Here is a 27261-nt window from a genome sequence, read left to right as displayed (position 1 = left end):
AGTCACTCAACTCTGCTGTTTTAGAGCAAGAGCAGGCATCGACAATATGTAAACAAATGGACGTGGCTGTATTCCAATAAAACTTTATTTATAGAACTATATTTGGCCCATGGGCTGCAGTGTACTGACCCCTGTCTTATAGTCATTTCTGCGAGCAACAACAGAATTATTTGTTCTTCCCTCCCTCTGAAATAGAACAAAATGGAAATGCTTCATTCTTTCTCATTAAAATAGCTCAGTCTGCATAGTGTAAGTCTACATGTATGCTGCACATCAAATCAAATCCAGGAAAACAACCATTTAAAAACTATATTTTGTAAAATTATCATCTGTGTTTGTGCCTTGGGAAGCGAATGCATGGGGCAGGTGGCTGAGGCAGTGAGGTGTTTGTGGGACTCGGTTGGGAAGATTCCAGGTGGCCACACTCACTATCTCCAACTTGACCATATGAAAAATGCAGCCTCTCAATTATCAGTGCAGACATAGTAGTGCTTTCATGATGACTCACATTCTGCAATTTAGGTTATGCCGACAGCAATCAATAAAATCCTCTACTTAGATTCTCCATGGCTAATTTGATCTCCACTCTCCTACTAACTGGGGCAATTTTTTTTTTGGATTGTTTTCAATTAATCCAATTTGTCACAGGCACCTCTGTTCTCAATATGGTATTTTCTTCCAATTTCTCTTTTGTTTTGAAAATAGCAAAGTGGGCAAAATGCATGTGCAAGTGTTCAGCTCAAACACAATGGCTTTTGCAAGAAGTGACTGCAAATAGAGAAAAGACCTCTCAGCAACCACCCCCACCAACACACACGTACACACCAGTTGCATCTCTTCATTCTCTAACTGTGCACGCTCTGTACACAGCCTTGAGCAAGTGAAACTTTAGGCCCTGATGATAATGATGGTGATGATGGTGATGATACTGATGGTAGTTACAGCTACACATTATGTAGCAACCACTACATCTTGGTCACCATGAGAAGCACCTCCCAATCAGAGGAAATTAAGACTAGGGGAAGTTATATAATATCTATTTTATAGTGTGACTAGAGAAAATTGAGGTCCTAAGATAGCTCAGAGTTTTAAGTCTTCATTTTACTAATTTGTGACCTTGGGCAACTTTCTTAATCTTGTGTAAGGCCAGATATTCTTATTTTTAAATGGTGATTATTATATTTGCCTTAAAACTGTGTTGAAAGAATCAATTGAGATGACATCTACACAGCCTTAGTACAGTGCCTCAGTATATGTATTAGGCTGAACCATATGAAAATGTCTACGTTTGACCACTGTCTTAGCTTACAGAAATGACAAGTTCATATGGCTCAAACTCATAATTGCTCAGTAAATGGTATTATTAGTATTATTCTTGTTGTTATTGTACAAGGACAAAAGTAGGTGGCAGAGAAGGAATTTTCATCTGAATTTGACTGATGGTGAAGGCTAGTGTTTGTTCTAACTTTGTGACCTTCAGGGAAATCCAATGATATTTTTAACTGAAGTTTCCCTTAATAACCTGAAACTGACATCAGAAAGCTAGTCAACAACAAGAACAACACTGATACTTTTTATTTTATTACAGGCATTTTATGAACAGGATAAAGTCCATTTCATTATTATCTCAGTATATCCAAAACTTGTTTGAAGCATATTAATCAAATGTCAGTTGAATAAAAATGTGAACTGTCTCTCTTCTTTAATGTATTAAGGGTCATGATCTACTGAAAATTGGGATCTGCCTCATTAAACAGTTATAATTAACTCTGTTCATAATATTCCACAGTGGAATTGCTGCTGTAGTTCACACTTGAAACCAGGAGGATAATTCAGCAACACTCAATGAAAGAACAGTCAGATTTTCTTTCACATTCCATGATGAAAACTGGGAATAAAAATAACTTTCTCTTCCCAGGCTGGGGAATCACAGGACAAAGAGACTCCCCCTCAAATGCCTGTCTGCTCATTGACAAGCTTAAAAGAAATAAATTCCCATCTGAAACTAAACCATCTCTTGTTGTTTTACCATATTCCCAGTGGCCTCGTCTGTTAAAAAAAAGTCTAGACATTTTTCAAGCTTGAGTTGTGTTTTAGATGTCTTTCAAATTCAGAGATCATTCTAAAAAAGTCTTTCTCACTAAACTATGAGATTCTAATCTCTAGGGTGTTGCCACATAGGACCATAAAATCCAATCAGAAAGAGGAATTTCTCCATTTGCTTTTTTTCTAAATAAATAACAAAACATTACTTCTACGAGCAATGTATAAAGAAGAAATACTGTGGTCAAGAAAATATTTCAAAATATTTGCATGATATTTTGACTGGAAACCACATGTGTTCTCTGGAACTTTTCAGGGTGTCTGTGCCCCCCACCCCCAAACACCTTGTGCCCACATCTAGGAGAACTCTATGCAGATGAACTTTTTAAAATGGCCCTTACCACTGCGGGTTCTGTTAGCTTCTGAGGCTGCATGGAACCAAGGCTTGCTTTAGAATGCTACAGAGACAATAGTCAGTTGACTCATTTTTTTCCTTTTTAATTAATCCAGACATAAGAAAATATAAGTATATTATATATACCTGCAATTATACATATAATTGCAAAGGCAATTAACTCCAAGAGTTAATCTAGGTGTTCTGGTCAAAGTCCTCAAGTAATGAGAGGACTTTGGAAATCCATTTTTTGGAGGGATGGGGGTCACAGGACAGGCCCCCTTTCATGTCTTGGTTGCCATTTTGAATGTCATGTTGTGCAGTCATTAAAACTTTTTGCATAAGTTACCAAAAGAACATTTCACTTATTTTGGTCAGTATCAGCGTTAAAAAGCTCTGACATTAGTAAGTTAGAGAATCTTTATTCTAAAAAAGTCAACTTAGCCAACAAATACAAAAGTGAACAAACAGAATATGATGTGAACTACTAGGCAAGCCCACGGGGCCAATGCCACATTTGAAGGCAAACAGCTAGCTAAATTATGACACAGAAGTAATTGAAGAGGAAACACATTGAATAATGTTCTTTAAAATCCACGTTATAGCCAGGGATCCTTTTAGTAATAATAACTGCCTTATCAGAACAGATTGGCTATCACAAGGAGAGTTTCTCTCTTGTGTCCCCAGGTTCTATCTTGAACTGAAAATTTTGTGGTAGATTTCCCTACAGATTCCCACAAAGAAAGGCTACACTTCTTCCTTCTGCATCTCATCTGCCCCACACTTAAAACCATATCTCCCTGTACCAAAACTGAGCATATTTATCAGGATGGATGCATAGGATGGTTTTCAAAACTCTAAAAAAGACCAGCAGGCATAGCAAATAGCAACAGTGACCTTGAGAGTATTGATCAAGCTCTGTTTCTTGGTTACAGAAGTAGGGAAATTAAGCAGTCCTCTAAATCATTAATGGATTCCTTTTATGTTCGTCTATTCAGCAACCTCGTCCCTCACCCAAGCCAGGACTCTGCATCCCTCCTACATCTTGGTGAGTAACAGCAAAATTTCTCTTGTCAAAATGTTCAATAAGAAGGCTCTGCTTTTTTTCATTATCCACTGCTTAGAACAGCCAGACAAAAATTCATCCACAATCAACTGAATAACTGCCTTGGAGAGACAGATAATCTTTGCCTCTTTTGTGGGGATGATGATTAGTCTGCCTTAAAAATTTACTTAAAAGGTAATGACAAATAAAAGGCTTTAGGCACTTCATTTTTTTAAACTAAACGTTTGCTTGACTTCATTTTTCTGACTAAAAGTGTTCTCTGAGAGAGTACTGGCATATAGACCACTTAGATTCCCAGACCAAGAGTCTGTCTATGCACTGAGGAGGATGTCCGTACTAAAAAATGTCCCTTCTCAAATCACCTCCCTTCATCACCAGTCAATACCATAGAGTTTGGAATGTAGACAGGAGAATAAGTGGAACATTTGAACGAAAATCCAGCGAGAAGGTATCTTGTAAAAGGCAAATGTATTGCCCAGGAGGAATAGAATGTCATATCCCCTACATCCACTACATTGCCACCCTAGCACTTAAGCTGTTTAGTTACCAATCACCAAATAAGGCTCTGAGAAAAGAGCAGGAAATGCTCTTATGGGTAGGAAGATAGAAAAGGGATCAGAAAGCTTAGGGTTAAGGTAGATTTGACTGACAATCTCTGCGGCCAGAGGGCAAAAAAGGGCACCAGAGAGAGGGGCTAAGGGAGAATGGATAAGGCTGCAGAGACGCATATAGTGAAACATGTGCAGCATCAGGAAAATCCAGTTCTTCTGGATTTAGGTCTGCTATTTACTCCAGGCTGATTTTAACAAGTCCATGGGTCACGCTGGGCCTCAGCTTCCCCAAGGAAGCTGTCCTAGGCAGCCTTGGACTCCCCTTTCCAGGTCTAACATTCAAACTTGTCTTTCTTTGCTAACCAAACCTTGAGCCTCGGTGTTTTCCGCTGGTGGACAGGTAGGCAGCTGCCTCTGAGGGCCAGGTCAGCAGAGCACATTCTGCCTTCCAACTCTTGAAGGCAAAGGCTCTGGACAATTGGCTCTGGGCTCTCAAGATCTGGAGCAGATACAATTAATTCAGTACACCTCACCGAGGCTTCTGGCTGTTCCCCAGCAGCTCAGCCATTTCACAACCTGCTTGAATTGAGGCCAATCTGTGGTGTTATCATCTCTTCCAGCCATACCTGAGGACAGGCAGTAGCCTCTCTGTGTGTCCCTGTTAGCCTCACTGTTTCTTCTCTCCCCCTGCGTGCCATTGAATGAGAGGCAGATACCTCAGCTCTTGGCAAATCAGAACCTAGCTGTTCTTCAACTTGGTTTGAGAGCTGGCTTTTCTGCTTTGCCACTCCTCTGAAATACCCTCTCAATGGCCACCACAAAGCCCTTAAAAGCAATTTCTCAATGGCTTTTTCTCTATGCCCTTCCCAGCTAACAAGCGGAAGCTTTGGCTCTGGTGAGCACGCAGCAGAGCCAAAGTAGAGGATGCGCTACTTACCTCTAGGCTAATGACTTCCTAATGGATGGGTGTGGGCTGTGTTCTAATTCCTTGTTTCTCACTGCCTGGGAGGTAGCCACCTGGTCTGGGAGGAGTGGAACCCTGCACCAAACTCAAGGTAGCTCGCAAAGCTGAGGAAGCCCTCTTCTACCTAACATCCACTTTAGGCCCATCCCAGGCCACCTCTCGAATTCCCCCACCCACTCTGCCATTTGCTCCCCCTCCTCATGCATGCTGTGTCTCCATCATCCAGGACGCTGTTCCCACAGAACACCCCACCTTGAGCTCATCCCACACACTCAAACCTCTGCACAGAATTTCCTGTCCCACTGTTCTGCCTGGGAGACTCTTGGCCTCTACATCCAAGTTCAAGTGGCTTCTTCTACATAAAGCAAGCTCTGGTCTCTAGGACTGGGGTGGAAGAGCCCCCATCTGAACCCCTCAGATAGACATTGATGACACAACATGTCACATTGCCCTCTGATGTTTGCTTTTCAGCAAACTCACCAGGTGCTTCTCAAAGATGACCTTCTCCTCTCTATAGTCCCAGCACTTAGCTCATGTTTGAGAAATGACAGGCTGGTTCAATGACTCTGATCTGCATCTACTGAATTTATACTTTTTTGTTAATTTCATTTTCATTTTCCTCCTATTTTCCCAATTTTTAAAATTTCATTTTCATGTCCCTACTAAGTATAACTATTCTCCATGAGTCACTTTGCTTTGGATCGCCAAGATCAATAATTACAACGTAATAACATAATGATGATCGTGATGATGATAATATACTTATTGGATGTTACTCTTATGCTTATTATGTACCATAGTAATACCTGATACATGGCACAAACCATATGCCAAGCTTTTTAGCTTTCTTCTAAGTGCTTATCATATATTAATTCATTTAATCCTCATAATAGCCTTATAAGTAGCATTGTGATTATGCCCTTTTAGAGGTGCGAAACTGAGGCACAGAAAGGTGAATAACATGACCAAGGCCACAGATTTGGTAAATGCTGGAGCTAGCATTCAAACTCGAGAAGTCTGTCTCCATAGTCCTGCTCTTCACTGGTAAGTTAGATCACCTCTCCATACACTATATTGCCCACCATACCAAGGGATTTATAGATAGTCCCTTATTTAATCCTCACAACAACTCTATACAGTAGGAGCTATTATTATCACCATTTATTTTTGCAATTGAAGAAATACTTATTTTGCTTTGAGATATTAAGAAATTCACCATAGGTCACATAGCTAATAAGGTGAACATTAGAACTGAAAATGAGGGTTTTGCCTGACTTCTAATATTTGAGAAGATGAGATGAGAAAGAATATAGAGAGTTTACTAAGACACCTCCATTGACAGAGTCATTACTGTTTATGCAGCAGCATTTCGCCATGACCTGGTACCCTGAATAAGTGAGGGATCAGTTCATGTCATCCTAATTTTATGGATGAATAAAGAGCCAGTGATTAACTCAGTCTAGAACCCATGTCCCCCGGGTCTAGAGTCTACTGAGTTGACCTTGTTTAGTTGTCTCTGTTGCTACCCAGGAGATTATTTTGTGCCTGTTTTTTGTTTGTTTGTTTGTTTGTTTTGTTTGTTTGTTTGTTTGTTTTAGACGGAGTTTTCCTCTTGTCGCCCAGGCTGGAGTGCAGTGGTGTGATCTCAGCTCACTGCAACCTCCACCTCCCAAGTTCAAGCGATTCTCCTGCCTCAGCCTCCCACGTAGCTGGGATTATAGGTGCCTGCCACCACGCCTGGCCAATTTTTGTATTTTTAGTAGAGACGGGGTTTCACCATGTTGGTCAGGCTGATCTTGAACTCCTGACCTCTGGTGATCCATCCGCCTCCACCTCCCAAAGTGCTGGGATTATAGGTGTGAGCCACCGCGCCCACCTGACTGGTCATTTTTTTTAATCTGCATTGTCTTTGATAGCACCATTTCAAGCTTCCAAAAGTCTAACCAGCAGAGAAACAGAATGGCTTCTTTCTTGGTTCAAGGACAATAAAATGTCAATTTAAAAAGATGAAAATCGAGAGTGGATTTTCGACATATTTTTCAGGATCACTCATGCAAAATTCTTTGTAGTAGAGCTGCCACCTTCACTCTTACATGTCCACAGTTTCTCAAAGCAAAAAATGAGTTTGCAAGCACACACACGTGGTGGCCACTGGGAGCGGTAAGTCCATAATTCAAACATGTGCAACATAAAGCCTTCCTCTGAACCAAGATTTTTTCCCACTGAACCTATTTAAGTTTTAAGATAATACTTTTCTTTTCGTAGGGTTTTTGTTTTTCCCCCTTAAGTATTATTAGGCTAAAATAATTAAAAGATGTCTACTGAGATAAAGAAAACAACATATCCTATTTTGGAGAAAAACAGCAAAAAGGAACCAGAAGTAGAGACAGATGGATCAAAATAACAACAAGAACAAAGAGAAATGAATAATTAAAATAAATAATAATCTTGAAGATCGCTGCAAATTTGTAAGCCTAGGCTTGGATCCTGGTATTGCCACTCACCCCCTACACACAGGTGAGGCCAGGTAGGTTACTGCACCTCTTCGTATCTCAGTCTCATTGTTTAACTCATGAGGTTGTTTAGGGTATTACATGGGATAATGCATGCAAAGTGCATGGAAACATGCTTAGAAACAAGCAAGTGCTCCATAAATAATAGCAATAATTGTTGTGATGGTTATTCTAAGGAACACACATAAATTTTACCAACTTGATTAAGCTTCAGGGGACTGTGGGAATGTGAGGCTCAGATGAGATGGGATTGGCAGGGATCAGCATAAGGGACTGCAGGCTCATACAGTGGCTGAATGTGCTCTGGTTTCCTTGGTTTTATACAAAGGCATGGGCGACTTTTGGAATTCCCAGGTCATGTTGCCAAAGGATTTCTCAGTTCCTTTCACACTGAGGTTGCAATAAATTCTGGTGCACACTGCCTGGGGAGAGGCTCTGATAGCATGGCGCTTGTGTGCAAGTCACCAGCTTGGCTGGGAATGAAAGAACCTCAGTTCATCCTTTGTCCACAATGACTAGCCATCCCTGACTCTCAAAATTTATGTTTTAAGAAGAGTTAGTCCCACAACTCTTCTTAAATACCTCCCAAGAACAGTTTTCAAATGTAGTGTGAGTTATTAAAGAATGAATAAAAATCTCATAGGAAGAAATAAGGTGCAGTACACAATTAAAAATCATGCCCATAAACACTGTGTAATTAGGGACTTCTCAAACTGGAAGATTCTACAGGCCAATATTTTCGAGGCACAACTTGAAACTAATTCCTCCATAAAAGTATCTCAATAGCATGAGCCAAGAGTAATCTTTCTCTATGAACTCCCACTGCAATGCATCTGCCCTTCTTCTGGAAAATGAGTTATACGAGCTCTTGATCCACGGAAGCCACTTGACTGCAAGGGCTACTATTTATTTTGCCTTATAACCACACTTCTTTCTCCACATGTACATATAGCAGGCTCACCTCAAACATGTAATGTGAATAGTAAATACATTCATCAGATTTAGAATATAGATCCTCTGTCTTCCAACTATCATGGGTGATCAAAATAGCCAGACTGGTACAGCCTATTTCAGCAAATAGTTGGTTTTTACCTATGACGCAAGTTTTGGTTTTGAATTTACCATTCCTGTTGTTTAAGGGCCTGTGTGATGGAGGGTGGGAGGAGGAGTGAGGAACAATCCTTTAAAGGACTTCTGTGATATGATTTGCATTTTTAAATCACTGCTAACATCATCTGTTCAGAGGTCTCAGGGGAAGTACAATAAGAGGATAAAGAAGGTGCTTTCTCTAGTGAAATGCATGAACTTGAATTAAATAGAATTTATGACTCTCTGGTTTCTCTCTGTAGTTCCCAACCTCCTAGAGAAAATGAATTCTACTGTATAAATGGGTTCACCAAAAACACTTTATAAATGTTCAGTTCTCAAGGAAACTAAATTGCGAGAAGAAAAAAACACTCACTAAGGATATAAATAAACCCCCTAAGGACTTATTTTTCCCTATTGATCTAAATTAAAATGTTAATAACTCAGATGGATGGTTTTCTAGTATTTTGACTTGTACTGGCTATTAGACACTTTTGTCATCATATGTGGGCATGAATTAGTTGACCAACATTAATTTATTAAACATCTTCTGCCCTCACCCCCTCAGGAGATGTCACTAAAGGGAACAGAGTCCTTAGCTGGCACCTTGCATGTGTGTACCACTAAATAAGTATTTGTTGAGTGTGCAGCATGTGAATGAAGAGTTTTAAATAAGCACAGAGAAAATCGATGTCTGAATGGAGGTCCTCTGTCTCTCCTTTCTTCATACACGTACCCAAATGTACACAGGCACACTCATGTGTCCTCAAAGAGTGACTATCAAACTCTACCCCTGTAACATGCATAATCTAATTTCACTTCCACCACAGCACCATGAAGAAAGAGTACCATTCCCATTGTCCAGAAGATGGAAAGCCAGCAAAGAAAGGTGAGGACTGGAACTAGAGTTAACAATAACATACAGTTTCAAATAGCTGGGAGGAAGATATTGAACATTCCCACTATGAAGAAATGATAAATATTTGAGATGATGGATATGCTGATCTGATCACTATGCATTATTTGTATCACGCATCACTATGTATCTCATAAATATGCACAATTATTATTTCTCAATTTAAAAAATTTAAAGACAGGTGAGACTATTGGAGGTCATACAACTAGTAACCGGCAGTGCTAGGTTTTGAACTCAGACTCATCTGACTCCCCTCTGCCTTTCCCTCAGGCCATACAGCTTCTTTCAACCTTGCTGCCTTTGCCCACAACATTTTTGGGATTCATTTTCTAATCTTACCTTTACAGCCTGCTAATATTAGACTGAGTTATTTGAACTTGATCTAACCCAGTGGCAGTCCCACCTCCCATCACACCCCAGTCTTCCAACCTCCATCTCCTCATGCTGCCAAGTCTTCTTTCTATAGCATACACTTAATTAGGGTACTCCTCCATGCGAAGTCTTTGGGATAAATTCTGTCCATACTGTCAACTCCCTAGCCCCCTTCATGCCCTGCCCCCACAACCCAGCAGTCTCTTCTCCCAATTCTCTACCCCCGTTCTCTGCTCAAGCCAAACCAGACTCCTAGCAAATGTATGAATGCCACACATTTTCTTACACTTTCACATCTTGGGACATAAAATTTCTACCTGGAATCCATCCCTCTCTCTTCTCCATGCTCTTTCCCCAACTCTCACACTCTGCAAATCCCAAAGCCTCCTTCAATGCCCATCTCTGAGGACCATTTTCTAGGCACCTTTCAAACTCTATTTAAAGTATCCACTGACTTCACATTTTCCCTCCAAAGTGTCATTCCCTGGGAAATAGGACCATCTAACCCAATGCCTGATACAGACACATATCTGAAAGTGAATAAAATTAAGTTGAAATCCCTGACAGTAGATACTAACCCTTCAGGGATGAATCTGACTCAGGAAATGTCTGAGAATTATTCAGAGCCAAGTCAAGTAAAGAACGTGAGTGATCAAGCTGGGTAACCCTGTTTAGAGTCCAAAACCATTTCAACAAAATATACATTGCAATACAGACACAAAAATGTGATACAGATACAAAAATACATTGTGATAAAGAGCACTGTCAAGAAGGGAAAGTCAATCCCTAGACACACAAAATGTCCCTTCACAGGTCACCCTTCACAGTTCTTCTAAATAAACATCTGTGAGAGGCAATGTCATTAAGAGCATTTGTTGCATTATATTTTAGGGGTCTCTCATGCTGGGAGGTGGGACAGCGAGAGGACATTCACAGTAGGAGAACAGCCTATTTCTTATCAAAGAAACAAGTTCTGGAATATCTACTGGAAGCTTCAGTAGTTTCTCTTGATCTCTCATATGTGAGAAGTATTGTATATTACACTTCTTACATTTGGGGAAGTCAAGCCCCATTTCCCACCCACTTCAGGACATAAGCCACGGATAACATAAGATTAAGCATCGTGACTTGATGAAAGGTACTGGTTTAAGAAGAATTTCTAAAGAACTGAGTTCCCACCCAGCCATTAACATATCTCTAAGTCCTTTCAAGTTAATAGACAACTTCAGCCTGAACCGTTATACTCCAGAGTGCAATCTCTCACAAATGCTGAGGTAAAGAAACGTCACTGCCTCGGAAAATGTGGCACTTGGTGATATGACAAGTACAATGGTATTTATCAGCCATATCCACGGCTTAATGGACATGAGCCATATCTGAAAAGGGAAAGGGTGATTCAGCCCATTAAGTATGCAGAACATCAGCTTTCAATACAAGATGGCTCTTGATTATTTGTTTTTTTCATTTCCAAAGGCTCCATCCAAGTGGGAAAATTGCAGAGGCAGAAAAAATACCACAGCTTTTCTGCTAGAGCGACAGCCACAGCAAAGCTAGGTATGACGGGGCAGAGGGGAGAGCCGCAGAACGTGCCAGCAACCTCTGCTTCTTCACAGTTCCGTTTCCTATAGAGGGGATACAGCCTCATACTTCACTTTTGCTTTTCCCTTTTCCTGCTTCCTTTTAAATGGTTTTCCAAAGTTTTCTGAGAATTAGATTTCAAGTATGTTCAGATTAGAAATTTCCAAAATAAAGCTTTCTATAAAAACATGAGTCCTGGCAAGCTCACATGCCTGGCTTGGTAAGCATTCCCTATGGAACCAGAGATGGATTGTCTGGCAGTTAACGAGACAAACAACATAAAGTTGTCATTGGTGAAGCTTAAATCCCAAAACCTGCTCCTCTCACCCACTGACGTGTTTGTTTGTGGGTGTGTGTGTTTGTGTGTGTGTGTGTGTGTGTGTGTGTGTGTTTTCTTGGAGGCCATCTTATAATCCTTTAAGCAATTCTCTCTTATACAACTATTTAGTTTTAGAACACCCTCCAAGGTATTATTGAAAATTCCTCCATTAAAAAATCGTTACGAAGAGCCTTGATATAAATGACTTTACTAGCTAAGAGATTCCCAAGCTGAAAAGAAAGACGCTAGAGAAATTGCCATAATAAGGGTTTAGTTAGTTCCTTGTTGAATGTTTTGACCCTCCCAATTTGATGTTATCTTCTATTTACTGCATTTAAATGAAGTATAGACTTAAAAAACTAAAGACACTCTCTAAGCTATGTCAATTATATGCCTACATTGTTCCATCATTACACTTGATATGCTTGTTCTTGTTGTCTGTGGGCCCCCCAAATCAGTGCAAATATTTGCCACTGTTTCCACCAGGGGGCATTCATCTCATTGAAAATAGGTATTGTTTTTAACCGGCAAAGTTAAGAATGTTATACTGAAATGACTAAAATACATTATTTATTAATCTCAAAATTCACATTTTCAACGGGAAGCAAAAAAGGCTAGGTCTTTAATGGGTAATTCTTGAATTAGATGTTTGTATATATGAAAAGTTATTATATGAGTAAGAAAAAAGTATACTTATGATCTGAAAAGTATGATATACCAGAGAATGTTATGAACTCTTAAGAAGCGTCAACAAAACATATACATAAAAACACTCAGCTGTAAGTAGAAATTAATTTTAGAGGTGGTGTTCAGTTGTATGTTCTCCTAAGACATCCTAAAAGTACTAAGACTCCTACAGAGGCAGGAATTGCCCTTTTTCAAAATGCCAGTTTCTCAAAACTCCTATCACCTTTCTTCTGACTGAACCACACAGTTACTTTGTACACATAAGGTTTGGACACCGGAACATACAAACAAGGCTGGCCTTCTCTGCAAAAGTTATGAAGAGAGGAAGAAAAGACAATGGAACATACAAAGACTGCACATTTACCCTTTTGCACCCTGAACCCTGACAGTCTTTTGTATAAAAAAAATTAGTGTGATGTTATAACAAAAAAAAGACTCAAATATAGAATTCCTGACAGAATATTTATCAGAACCATACCTTTTTTCTTTTACTTCCCAAGAAAATATCACAAAGTCTGCCATACCCCTGAAATTATCACTGACCCATCCAAGCCAGAAAACTTCATAGCTCATAGCTTTCTTTTAGAGAGGAAAAAACATCCACCTATGTTTCCATGTATAACCATCTAATATACTAGCTCTTAACTGAGACCTAATCAAGTAGGAACTATGGACCAGTGAGGTCTAGCACCATTCGCTACCCCTGATGGTAGCTTTGAAGGTGTCTCTTTCTCTTTTTACACAGTACCCATGTTAGTATATGAAATGGAAGTGTACACAGAGGGAATCACAGACTCTTAAGGTAAAGTTGCGCAGAGCTGGACCTTGGTATTCCCCTAAGTTTGAACTTCTGCTCCCATCTCACTGCTTGTGCATCTGCCTACGTTGATTTAGGGACTGGCCTGACTAAAACAGAGAAGCTGAACCGGGCAAGATCCCCATCTCCACAACCTATTACAAAATATGTGGAAGTCCGGGAGGTGGATGGTTATTTCATTAGATATTTTGCTTATGTGTTCCATTAAGGCAGGGGTCAGCAAACCTTTTCTGTGAAGGGCCAGAGAGTAAACATTTTAGGTTTTCTGAGACATAAGGTCTCTGTCACAGCTACTCAACTCTGCTGCTGTACCATGAAAGCAGCCATAGATAATCCATAAATGAATGAATGGGGCTGTATTCCAATAAAACTTTATTTACAAAAACAAACAACTGGTCAGATTGAGCCTGGGGTTCATAGTATGACAACTGTTTTAAGGGGATAGCTCAGGTTTTTTTTCTTCCCTTGTACTGGTGGAACTCTAACACGTAGCTCAGACCAAATGTTCCCTAATGGCAAGAGTGTTAATAATCAAAACCAGATTTTTAAGGAAAAAAAAAACCGCAGAGTCCCATTATAATGCCTTATTTTCTAATCATAAAGGCTAGCTGCCAGAAATGCTAACCTGACCCACTAGTGGTGTGGGTTGTTAATGCTGGACGTGTTGGTGGTCCAGAGTATCTTGGTTCCCTTTTAGCATTTCTACCATTTGTTTACTCTTATCAGAAGTAAACAGGAATACAGAAGGAGGCTTCTCCAGAGAGAAAGTCCAGCATGGAATTAAGATTTCAGATCTGACACGTTGAGAAAAGTTCTTCAAACTTGCTCACTCTTTTCTGATCTAATTAAATGCCTCACCTTCTTGATCTTGAACAGTTGAGGAGAAACAATATCATCAGCACACAGCTAAGCCTTTAAACAACCCACAACTACTGTGATGTTCTTGTGTCAGTGTCAAAAAAACAAAAAAAGGTGCAGCAACCCTACGGCATGACATAGCACACCCTCCTCAGAGAATTCTGCCCCTTTTGCAGAACAAGAAAACTCTTTTGAAGCTAATTTGTCTCAGTGTGTCTAGACAAAAATTTGGGACAGACAATACAAAGCCCTCTTTTAAGATTCACTTCTATTTTTGCCTTCACCACAAAAGAAAAGATGAGGGGGTTGGAAACTGATCTCTGCAACATGGCATATGAGTTCTTTGCAATTTGGCCTTAGCCTCAACAGCAAATCTATGTGTTCCATCTCTTTGCTTGTTAATGCATTTGCTTTATGCAGGAGAACAAGCCCCCTTGGACGTGGGTGTGTTTTATAAAAAGAAAAGAAAAAAAAAGTCAAGTGGTAATGGAAGCTCTAAATCAATGTCACCAGGCTTCCAATGGCATTCATGTAGAGCCTTCAGAATGAGCACCTATGTTTGGTGGATTTTTATTATTATTATTGCTTGTTGTTTATTTTTACTCTTGTCCATGTGCCCAGAGACCTTGGCAAGATAAGCATTTTATAAATCTGATAAATAAGTAATTGAAGCCTTCTAATCAATATTACCCAAGGGAGAGGGAAGGAGGCACTCAAATCTGCATTAAAGTCGAGGTCCTCCCTTCTGTTAAATGCTGGGAGAAGAAAAGACCAGCCTGTTAAGGCTATGAAAAGGGCATCTCACTGGGGTGGGCTAAGTGCAGCAAGTTTGCTCTCTCCACATATCCCTCAACATTGAGGAGGGAGAGGACACAGCAGAGAAGAAATCAGTCCACTGTATCAAACTCCACATGACAGGCACGGACACACCAGAAGATAGGGACATTGCACGGTGTCCGTGAAGGCACAGTCCACCAGCGGGAACTGCACAGTTCAGGCAGGAGGGAGGCTTACTCATCATGAGCTTCACTGAAGCTGCAGTGTGTGGGCCACTGTTATATTCTCTGGGAAAATGTTGCTGTCAACACAGCAATAGAGCCCTCCAGAGAGGGACTTTACAGAATCGACAGCCAAACTGAGCCCAGAGGGAATTCCAGGGTAAGTCTCTTGAAGAGGCACAAAGCCTCATTAGTGCAGAGAAGATTTACCATGATCTCAGTCCAACCAACGATGCAGGCACCTTGTGTCCAAAGTTGTAATTCACTACGGTTCTACATATAACCCAAGTATAAGGAATCATCACTGGTTGGTTAAGTCTGAATAACCTCCTGCTTCTCTAAAAATATCAGTGACAATCAGACTGCACCTACAGGCCCTTCCATAGGAGAGAAATAAGCTGAGCTGGTGGCCAATTTATTTAAAGGAAGCAAATCAGCTAGTTAAACCCACAATTTAAGGAAGGCTTTGTTTTTGTTTTTGTTTATTTAGACAGGGTCTTAATCTGTCACCCAGGATGGAGTACAGTGGTATGATCTCGGCTCTCTGCAACCTCTGCCTCCCAGGCTCAAGCGATTCTCTCACCCCAGTCCCCTAAGTAGCTGGGACGACAGGTGCCCGCCACCACTCTGGGCTAATTTTTGTAACTTTTTGTAGGGACAGCGCTTTGTCATTTTGCCCAGGCTGGTCTCGAACTCCTGAGCTCAAGCAGTCCACCCGCTTCTGCCTCCCAAAATGTTGACATTACAGGCGTGAGCCACTGCACCAGACAGGAAAGCTTTTTCGAAAAATCAAATTGCACTGTTGAAACGAACTTCAAAAGATCATGTAGGCTGTCATCCTACCTTAAGGTAAATCTAGCTTGAATCACCGGGGGCAAAGAGAACATATATTATTTTAAAAGGTCTTGCAAAAAAGAGTTTCTACAAACAAACCTCTTGCATGATCAAACTACCTTTACTGTCGAAAAATTGCTAATTATGACTGTTTTGCAATGGCTTGCTAGAGACAGCTCGTACTTCTTTGTCTAATTTTCAGGACTTTTTTGAGCTGGCTGACTTCATGGTGGGAATGTTTACACCGCGGAAATCAGCAAACATTACAAATTAGGACCCCAACCCCACTGTATCCTTGAGTACTAGTTCCTGAACATTTCTCAGCATACTATTGTCATATGCTGTGTAAAACTATTCGTTTTTCCTTCTCCAAACTCTCTTGTTCTTTGAGAGCTGAGAAACACTCTGAGTCAAAGAAGAAATCTGTTCTACAATATTTCTGAAAGTTTCAGGCTCTTTGTGGACACCCAGAGCAAAGGGAAATTAACTGTTTTGCATGATAACCCATTTAGGGACAACAAGACTACTGTATTAGAAAATGATTATTAACCCCAATTTATCTCTGCTTTTCTTCCTACTACTATTTTCCAATCTTGTAAACATCCGTTAGAGTTTCTCCAGAGTTCTCTGAACGGTGTCACATCTCTCATCTTGAGAATAAGAGGAGGTTCTGTACTAAAATGGGACAACCAACACTAGGAAGAGCTACCAGTGACTCTACTATTTATGATGCACAACCCCACTTGTTTCCTTTCTATAACTTCTCTTTTCCTGTAAGGGGCTTAACTGAATGCCCAGACTGGAAGTTTCCCCTCAAAGTTTCTGATAGAAACAACCATGAGTACAATCTAGGTATTAGGAAATATATCTTCCATGGCCACCAGAAAATATTTATTGGTCCTAAAACCCAATGATAAAGATGTTCTAATACCTATTAGGAGGAGACAGTTCTCTCTAGCACTTCTGTATATCTCACAAAGAAAGGTACTGACTGCCCTTTGTTTTGGATTATCTTTTCAAAGATGTTTGTATAGTGAACAGCCTTCCAAAATAAAGTGTCTCCAAAACAAAGAGCAGGCATAATTACTGTCCATTTTAAAAGATTCAGATTCCCTAAATTCAGGGTTCCTCTCCTATAACACAATCCAGAGAATGTGCAGGCATCCATTGGGTCCCACCTGCCTCACACTCATGGGGTTTTGGAAGAGAGAATTGATACAAATATGCTGTTCATGCCACATGCTGTGTAAAAGTAATAGAGTCCTCTGTCTCTGACCCCAAAATCTCATGTCTTCTGCCATCATCTATGAAATCATGGCAGGCTAACTTGTTAGCTTGAAAGTAGGGTAAGATCTTAGACATTTCATAGTTTTTAATAAAGCTTTTAAGAAACAGGCCAGACATGGTGGCTCACACCTGTAATCCCAGCACATTGGGAAGCCAAGGTGGGCGGATCACTTGAGGTCAGGAGTTCGACACCAGCCTGGCCAACATGGTGAAACTCCATCTCTACTAAAAATATAAAAATTAGCTGGGTGTGGTGGCACATGCCTGTAATCTCAGCTACTCAGGAGACTGAGGCATAAGAATCGCTTGAACCTGGGAGGCAGAGGTTGCAGTGAGCTGAGATCATGCTGCTGCACTCCAGCCTGGGCGACAGAGTGAGACTCTGTCTCAAAAGAAAAAATAAATAAATAAATAACAAAGCTTTTAAACAGTCTGTATCTATATTTATATTTATATTTATATCTATATCTATCTCTCTACCTACCTATCTATCCATCTAGTTGGATAGATAGACAGGTACCAACTGTGTGCCTCAGAGATGCTTTATAGATACTCTCTTAGGTAATAATGTAGAAAACAGCCCACAATGAAGTTTCTAAGATGAAAAGTGCAGAGCTGTTGCACTCTGTCAAAGATATAAATGTGCAACTGGGAAAAATGGGCATGAACAAAACGAAGACTGGCCTTAATGTTTTTTGTGTACTCTAGATCAGGGCTTCTCAAATTTTAAAGAGCATATAAATCACCTGAGAATTTCATTAAAATTCAGATTTGAATTCAGTAGGTCTGGGATGAGGCCCCAGATCTGTATTTTGAAAAAGTTCCTAAGTGATATTGGTCCAAGGACCACATTTTGAGAGCAAGGGTCTAACAGCAACTAAATATAAACTGTATACATATTGTCACTCTTATATCTGCATAAACTATAAAATGTTTAATAAAAATATCCATAACAACCCAGGAAGTCCATTTAAATATCTGATTAGGAATATATGCATATTTATAAGAGAAAAATATCAATATTGATTATAAATTTGTCTTGATTCCAAATTATATACACATTCTATTCAAAGAACCAAGAGCAAAAGAAATATGCAGGAGAAGCCCGTCCTAGGTTACGCCAAGAGTCTGTGGACTGTAGCAAGCAATAAACCAGGCAAATTACAATCTTTATGGTTTATGTTGCTGGCAATATCTCTGGCTAAGCAAATGCTGATGGGCTAAGCATAACAGGGAAAATAATATGTGAGCATAAGACAGACTCTGAAAAAAAATAAATGTGCTGCAGGGAAAAACACACTGGGCTGGGAGTCAAGAGGCTGGAGTTGTCCCCGCTCTGTCACCTCCTTGCTGTGGGAGCCAAGGAAAGCAGATTCAATTCTCTCTGGGCAATGAGGGAGAGGAGCAGGTGCCTCTAGGCCCAGGCCCTATGCCACCTCTCAGCTCCCACATCTTGGTGTTAGGGCTTGGTCACCTGCACAGACGGCCTCTCTCAGCCTCATGGACCATTATTTAAGACTGTCATCAGCCCAAAGAGATTAATCTTTCTATCTCATCTTATATACTTAGGGAAACATTTGTGTACCAATTTGAAAAGCACAAGAAAGAAGGCTCGGAAATAAAAGAAAAACTGACAAGGTATTTTAGAATTTTATTGTGAAATATTTGAGTACCTCCTGTGTCCCTTTTCCTTCCACCACTGTCTTTTTTTCTTTTTGTCTTCTTTTTTCCTTCCTAACCTCTCTCTCTTCATCCTCTCTCTACCAAAATTACAACTGGGGAGACAGTAAGGTGTATGTCATTATTCCATGCGCTAGTTTCTCATTATGTTAGTGACTATTTCTTTTGAAAAGATTTCTGTGGTTAAATACACTTTGTGAATCTGGTTTAAATAGAATTAAAAGATTCCTATGGACCCTATAATATGCTGACGCAGAATGTGTTTCTCCAAGACGGGCTATGGAAAGCTCCATTTGCTACACTGGACTACAGAAACCAGCCTTTTCCCCAATGCTAGTGTTCTAAGGGATCCACTTTGAGAATGACAGCTCCAGCACTAAGATTTTGGATTCTGGAAATGAGCTGTGTGTTGAAATCAGTACCACCTGGAACAGCCTTGCAGCTTTGGGCAAGTCACATAACCTCTCTGAGCCTCCAGTTCTTTATGTGCAGAAAGGGTCAATGACATCTACCAAATGTTTCCATGGATAAAACTAAGCGAGACAAAGTACATGAAGTGCCAGACATGGAGACCCCTCTCCATCCTGTCTGTTGAGATTCAGAAGTGAGGTCAATCTGTGTCCCTTGAAAACTGGCCGGGGCAGCATCCATCTCACTGAAAACCACTCTTGGAGACAAGGCCATTGGCCCTCGTTTCTGACTTTGTCCATGTTTCAGAACTCAATATGGGTCCAGTCCCCTCCATTGAAGCCTGAATATCCCCTCCCAGTGACTGCCCAGCAGTCTGGGTATGTTTGCCATCTCAATAGATGACATTTGCCAAATGAATGAGGGAGAGAAAGAAAATATTTAGACAGAGAGGGTCACAGGAGAATAAACAAAGGAAGAAATGAAACCAGGCCATAGGGGAGGGCAGGAAGGCACAGTAGTTAGGACATGACTGTCCTGAGGCAGACTTGACGTTAGGAGCCACAAACCTTGGCAGATCAGCAAAATCTCCCTGAGTCTCAATGTCCTCAGTTACAAAACGAAGATGATGATGCATATCTCACAGAGACATGTTGAGGAGTTGAGAGATTGTATGCATAAAGCACTTAGCACAAAACCAAGCACAGAGTAGGGACTCAATTGAAAAAAGAGAAAGAGTGTTAAGTGTTCTTTTTGAAGTGAAAGGGGAAAAAAAAGATGCTTTTATTCTCAAATCCAATTCTGTGATTTCTAGATTAGAAACTGGCTATCATAAACCTTCTGCATAAATCCCAGCAAAGAAATATTTGTAAGGTAGAAAATTTATTTTCCTACAGCGAACTTCAGACGTGCCCCATAAGTGGTGATAAATATAGTTTTCATTTTGCCTTTGAGAGAGAGAGAGAGAAAAGAGAGGAGAACCTACTACTTACTAAACTCCAAGAACGTTAAAATCAGCAATGGAAAAACAGTAAGATTTAAGATTTCCTAAACAGGGAACCCCGCACTAATCCCTCCTCTTCATAGTCAGGTAGAGAGAGCACTTCCTTAAAGAAGGACTCCCCTCACCCCTCCATCACTGCTGTGTTCTTCCCATGCCATAATTTCTATAGCCCTTATATATTTATTAGTCTTGCCATCTGCCCCATGGCAATGGAGGCTCCACCAGGCAGGGACTCTAACCATCCTCAGGGTCTATAAGAGTCCAGAGCAGGCTCTCAATAAATAGATGTTGAAGGAATGAATGGATTCCACATTAGTCATTTAACAAGCATGCCCATGCAAGCATTTACAGTCCATTAAAACAATGTGAAGGCCAGGAGACCAGAATGTTTTAAAAATTAGTAATGTTATCACTTTATTAATCACTTCCAACTTTAATACCAAATTAAGAAAGTAAAAAAAAAGGCTTGGCAGGAGCTAAGAAATCTATATAAACATGATCACTCTTCACATTTAGACATTCTAGCACTCTCAATTTAACTATTTTGTTACCAATCACTAAATTCAGTGGCTCTGCTGTGCCTGCAGTATCAACTCCAAACCCCACAGCAGGGCACAAAGGCCTTCTGCACCTTGACCCTTGTCTGTCTCTCCATCATCGTCCCCTGCCACTGTTCTCTCATATCTTACACTCCATCAATATCCATGCCACCCCAACACGAGCCTTCATGCCTCAGTAAGTAACACTGCCTCCTTCTCCATCTCGTCTGTGCAGAGATCTCTTACTCACTCTTTCAGACCCCACTGGAGGGTGGACTCTGCTGTGAAGAATTCCCTGATTTCTGTAGACAATGAATCATCCCCCTCTTTTGTGGGGCTTCTTACATTAGCCACCATAGAAGCTGCTGGGATGTCAGGCCTCCTCTAGACTACAAACTTCTAGAGGTACATCACACAGGTATGATGTACACATGTAGATTCCCTGTGGCTGGCATATTGTACATGCTCAGTAAAATGTTTATCAGCACCTTGGGAGGCCGAGGTGGGCAGATTGCTTAAGGCCAGAAGTTTGAAACCAGCCTGGCCAACATGGTGAAACCCTGCCTCTACTAAAAATTAGCCAGGCTTGGTGGCATATGCCTGTAATCCCAGCTACATCAGGAGGCCAAGGCACAAAAATTGCTTGAACCCAGGAGGCGGAGGTTTCAATCAGCTGGGATCCTGCCACTGCAGTCCAGCCTGGGTGATGACAGAGTGAGACTCTGTCTCAAAAAAAAAAATTGTTTATAGGGAGAACAAGTAAATGGATGCATGTCCACTGTTAACAAACCTATTTCCCCATCATTGTCCATCTGAGGTATGCTTTATGAAACTTTATGGAACACCAAATATTTGCTGGGCAGTATCTTATTAACCTTTAGACCATTCTCAGGAATCTTCCCTAACTTTGGTGCTGGCATGTGACTTCACAGTGAAAGAAAATAAAATTTAGAGAGGTTGAGTCACAGAAGAAGAACATAGGAAAGCTTGGAGTAAAACCTCAGCCCCTGCTCCTTCTGCTACTCTATCTTGCCTCAAAGGCAAAAATACAATAAAAATAAAATACTTCATTTTACTCTTTACCATTTCAGATTTACCATTACAATGCTGACCTCTCAAACGATACCCCGAAGTGGCCCTCAGATGGTTAGTGGGAAGATTAACAGGAAAACATATTCTTTCAATATGATAAGCTAAGCATTTTTTTTCTAGATGATTACACACGATCACACAAATTTACTAAAAAGGGACTTTGTCCATGTTGTGGGGATCAGAGAAGCATTCCTGAAGGAAGTGACACCTGAGCTTCATCTTAAAAAGCCAAGTAAGAAATAACCAGGCAGATGGATGGAGGAAGAACATTCCAGAAAGAAAGACTAGGTACAGTCTGCGATAAATGCTGATGACTTCACCATACAGAAACTTTAAAGGTCTCTAGTATGGCTTTTGTGTATTTTTGCTGAATTTTTAACTTGTGTAGAGGGCTTGTGTCAGCAGTGAATAATTCAATCAGGTCCCAATACGGACACTAGAAGGAAGTCCATCTAGATGGCCATGCCATCATTGCCATTATCCCTTCATTTTCTTAAAGAACCTCCCTGCAATGGACTGATAACTTCTATGTGATGAGTTAGGGCTTTCAGGACACTGTGGTCCATTTCAGGGCCGAGGAAGTCATTTTCTAAACAGCACTGTGGTACACTATAGTCACAGGACCGAGCGTGACCACCTCAAAGGGAGAGCCACGAAAGAAATTTCCATCTCCTGCTCTCAAATCTCATTGCTAATGCCCTGTCCCGTTGTCACCTGCTGAATAATTTTGTGTTTCTATGAACCACCCAGATTCTGTCAAACATCGCACAAAAGTCTCTCTGTATACAACAAAGTGACATGACTCAAGCTCTTATTAGAAATTATTTTCAATCACTCCCATTCTGGGAAATTAAGTCTGGCATTTTCTAATGTATTTTATCTCTTCCTAAAGAGACAGTCTCCTTTCATTTTAGTAAGTCATAAACTTTGATGCCAGAATGCCTCCTTGATAGCTCTAGAAATAGAAGTTTTAATACCCAGGGGGGAAAGGAGAGTTAGCAGGGAGGTTGGAAGAGCTAACACATCAACATCACAAGATCTGGGCTTGTATTGTGGTTCTACCAATTACTAGCTCTGTGACTTGGGCACATTAATAAATTTCTCTGGACTTCAATTAACTCATCCTTAAAAAGCAAGATTATTATGAAACGTGGAAAAAAATATGTCAAGGACCTGGCCCACAACGGCCCTCTCAGTAAATGGTAACTATAATCTACACCTCAATTCATTTTTAAATTAACTTTTAAGATTCCCCCACTTGCACATATAAAGTCCAAATTAGCAAATGAGAGACAGAAATAGTTTTAAAGATGCTGATAAAAGGCATCAAATAACATATTAAATTTCTTAGTGTTCCAACACTGTCTTTGGCCAGTTCCTCAGAAGTAGACCCAGAGTGGAGTGTTCATGGCAAGTGATTTATTAAGGAGGGGCTCCCAGGAGAGGGGAACAGGGAGGGGAGGAAGAAGCCAGGCAAGATTGCAACTTCAGGTGAAATCTCAGCCTCAGCCTGATTCTACAGAGAGCTGTGGTGTGTAAATTATACCACAGATCCTGCAGAGAACTTGTAAATTATACCACAGAGTTTGCCCAGTCTTAAGACAAGAGGGTGACCTTTCATACTCCTTCACCACTCATCAGCAAAACCTGGCAAAGGGTTGAGGGAAGGGAGTGGAAGGCACTTAACTCCCAGCTGCTTCCAGCTGTGTGTTTGTGTGTGTGTGTGTGTGTGTGTGTGTGTGTGTGTGTGTGTTCTCATGCACATGCCAGGAGTGGGGAGGAGCTCCACTAGCTCAAGTCCAGCCCTCTGAACAAGGTTCCAGGTGCGTGACCCTCAGAAGCAAACATATGCAGAAGCCAGGGTGAGCACACAAGGCCAGTAAAGGGAGTCAGAGGGTACCTGAGCAGAGCACTGACGACAGTTGCAATATGAATCAAGAAAATGCTGTGGAAACGTGTCTGTGTCACCTCTTCCTTTAGCTCACAGGAGTTTGCTCATCACCAAATGATATGCATTTAACTGTAAATCAAGTCATTTTTCCCTTTGGTGATTTATAAAGGAATAAGTTTGCAATCAATACTTCCTGACAGTATAAAATTCAATTTTGAAGGTTTGCCTTCAGGCATCAAAAAATGAGCTCCTCAACCCACTACTGTTGTGGTTTTCTGCTGAAGAACGTTGTGCTGGTCCCTAATGGAGGGCACAGACCCTGCTCAGACTGAAGTCATGGGAAAGAGCACTGGCTAACTCCTTAAAAACCAAGAGAAACACTGGCAGCAATAAGTCCTTGGCTCTTTCATATGTGCATATTCATTTAACCAACAACACCACTCTGAGATTTCTGGGATGCTGTTTGAATTGAATTGTATCGTCAATGCATTTGGTTAACACAGATCTATAGTACAGAGATTCAAGACTCTGCCTTATTCAAATAAATTCTTGTCATTTAAAAAATAGAATTTCTTATGCCTCTACATCTTTATCTATAGAAAGGAAATCTGGCTTAACTTCAGGTGATCATTCAGGGACTCAATGGAGACAGCCAATTGGGTAGGTAGATTGGGTCATAAGATTTTAGGATTAACTAATGTACTATTATGAATGATTATAGAAATGTGAGATATCAGAATATTTTTAAGTAACACATGCAATTAATTTGTTAGGGTAGTAAGTAGTTCCATACACTGCCTTTTAAAATTTTTTCAATAATGTTTATAATTTGACCACGTACAATTTAAGGCAATTACGTCAACACATCTGGAAGACTAGAACTGGAAGAGCAGAGTACACCCTACGACAAAGATCCTCTCCTTGACCAACCTCTGCTTGGGCTCCCCTGAACTCTTTCTCAAGTAGGCCTGACTTTTGGACTTCCACGTTCGTCTGCCTTGGATTGGTAAGAATCCTATTAAGTTGGTTAAGCCAAAATCTTCCATATCTGATTGTCCTCCACATCTAATCAGGTTCCTCATCCTCTACTGTCCCGCAGGGGATGTCTATCACCCTGGCCTGCCCTCAGAACCAGTCCTGTTACATTGGTTTATCCAGGATCCCCCCTTACCCCTGATGTTTCCTCTTAGTAATTTCCCATCCACTGCCACCCACCCTGCTTCTTGGCTATGAATTCCCACATGTCCATGCTGTATGCAGAGTTGAGCCCAGTTCCATACTGAGCTCTCTTTTTCCATATTGCAATAGTCCTGAGCTCTGGTTTTCTTTGACACCTACAAACACTGAATAACCAGATACGTCAAAACAAAAGTCATGATGAATTTCTGGGGGTCCCAACAGAGAGATCATATTGATGATTAATGGGCACCTTAAGTTTTTGCACCTAGATATGATGTCCATTTTTAAATAAGTGAATAATAAGTAACTACAGTACCTGCCACCAAGGGTCAGGGGATGTTTTCCATCTCAGGGGTTCAGAGGACACTGCAGTAGCTCAAGAGATGAAAGAAAAACCCCTGCGGAGGGAGGGGCTTGGCAAGGGGAGAGGATTTAGCCTAGGAATGACTGAGTGTCTTCCACAAACAAAATTCTCAACAATTACTACAGTTACAAAATAGCTACAATGAACTATCATTTTAAGGTGAAACATTTGCTACAATCAGTGCTAAAGTGATTGAACTAAGCTACTTAGACTTGGCATTTCCTACACTTGGCATATTTGAATTCTGAAAATTCTGAATCTGATTAGACTTCTTTTCTGTTTTTCCTTGCATTGTTTTGTAATTGAAAATTGTTGAAATTGGTAAGAATCTGTTCTGTAGTGTAAGATTCTGGCTAGAGAGGGAACTGAGAAGTCAAAGCAAACTTAACATTATTGATTTTTGAGAGCCCATGCCAATGAATGGGATTATCCAAGACTATAGCCCTTATTTTCCATTCTTAGGTTTCCATTATGCAAGTCTGTACACAGCAGATCCATCTTTTCAAACATGCTGGTTTTCTGGTAATATCTGAGTTAGTGTCTCTGAGTTTGCTAACCCATAAGCATTTTAGGTGATGGGAAATAAATCAGACTAGAATAAATATGTACTATTGAGCAATTTGTAAAGAGAAAGAGCTATATGACAGTAATGAAGAATTAAGAAGAATCGAATTCCCAGATATTTGGGGGAAAAGAGGTAGAAGACACTGTTTCACAACATGCAGGACCAGAGGAGAGAGAGACGTAGTATGGGGAAATATGTGGGAAGAAGATAGGAGATCCCAAAAGGTGACAGCCAATCAACTATTTTCCAAAATATAGAGAGATTAAGAAGGGGAGATGAAGCACTGTGACACTCAGTCATTCCTAGGCTAAATGTGTGAGACAGAAAACCATATTTTAGGAGATTTGGATAATTAGATCTCCACTATCACCATCACCAATGGTGATTCAAGAAAGATTAATTCAGACAAAGACGGCAAAGTACTATTAATAATTTGTCAGGAGGACAATAAACAGAAAAATCAAGTGCTCTTTTCTCTCTGCAAATACATGGCCTCAAAAATCTTGAGTCTTAAAATCTTAGTTTCATCCTTATCTTTTCAGCCAAAAGGAATGCTATGCAAAAAGCATGGATGGGTTCTACTTAATGTTTAACCATTGTGAGGAGGAAAAATAAAATTCTCACAATGTCTTTGTTCACTCTGAAAATGCATCAGCTGAGTTTTCAGTGTCATTTTTCTCCCAATAGCAACTAAGATCTCAAGAAGAGAAAATTTTACTCAAATTATATTAGCCTTGCAATTAATGATATAATATCCCAGGCCTTAGAGTAGATTAGACTGTATAAAAGGAATCAGGCTGAAGATGAGAAGAATTTCAAGAAAAAGTCAAGACATAAGTCAAAGTCTGGGTCCTATCCCTTTCTAGTCTCAAGTGGCCATGGCCATGTGATGGGTAACAATTACAACATGCCAGGAGTGTACACTATGACCCAGGGGAACCGCAGACACCTAGAAACCTCAAGCCATCATTCTGGGATGAGTGCAGGTGTTTTCTGTATATTGAATACATGTGGGTCTTGTGTGTATGTGTGTGTCGAACGTGTGTTTTAAAAGTGTGTGTGTTGAATGTGTGCATATTATGTGTTGTGTGTGTGTTGTATGTGGTGAATGTGCATGTTATGTATGTATCTGTGTGTTGAATGTATGTATTAAAAGTGTGTTGAATGTGTGTGGTTTGTGTGCATTGAATGTGTGTATGTTGTGTGTATGTGTGTGTTTTATGTGTGTGTGTTTGTGTGTTGAGTGTGTGTATGTGT

At 40.4% G+C, this 27261-nt stretch overlaps 1 protein-coding gene across 38 annotated transcripts in view; it reads right to left on the bottom strand.

Moving 5' to 3' along the window:
• Positions 1 to 27261, bottom strand: part of NTRK2 (neurotrophic receptor tyrosine kinase 2) — a 358533-nt gene that overhangs the window by 233143 nt on the left and 98129 nt on the right. The gene's annotated exons all lie outside the window — the stretch shown is intronic.

The sequence above is a fragment of the Homo sapiens genome, chromosome 9, assembly GCF_000001405.40.
Source record: "Homo sapiens chromosome 9, GRCh38.p14 Primary Assembly".
Classification (NCBI taxonomy): domain Eukaryota; kingdom Metazoa; phylum Chordata; class Mammalia; order Primates; family Hominidae; genus Homo; species Homo sapiens.
The sequence above is the reverse complement of the archived record's forward strand: the minus strand, read 5'-3'. Positions and strand labels throughout refer to the sequence as shown.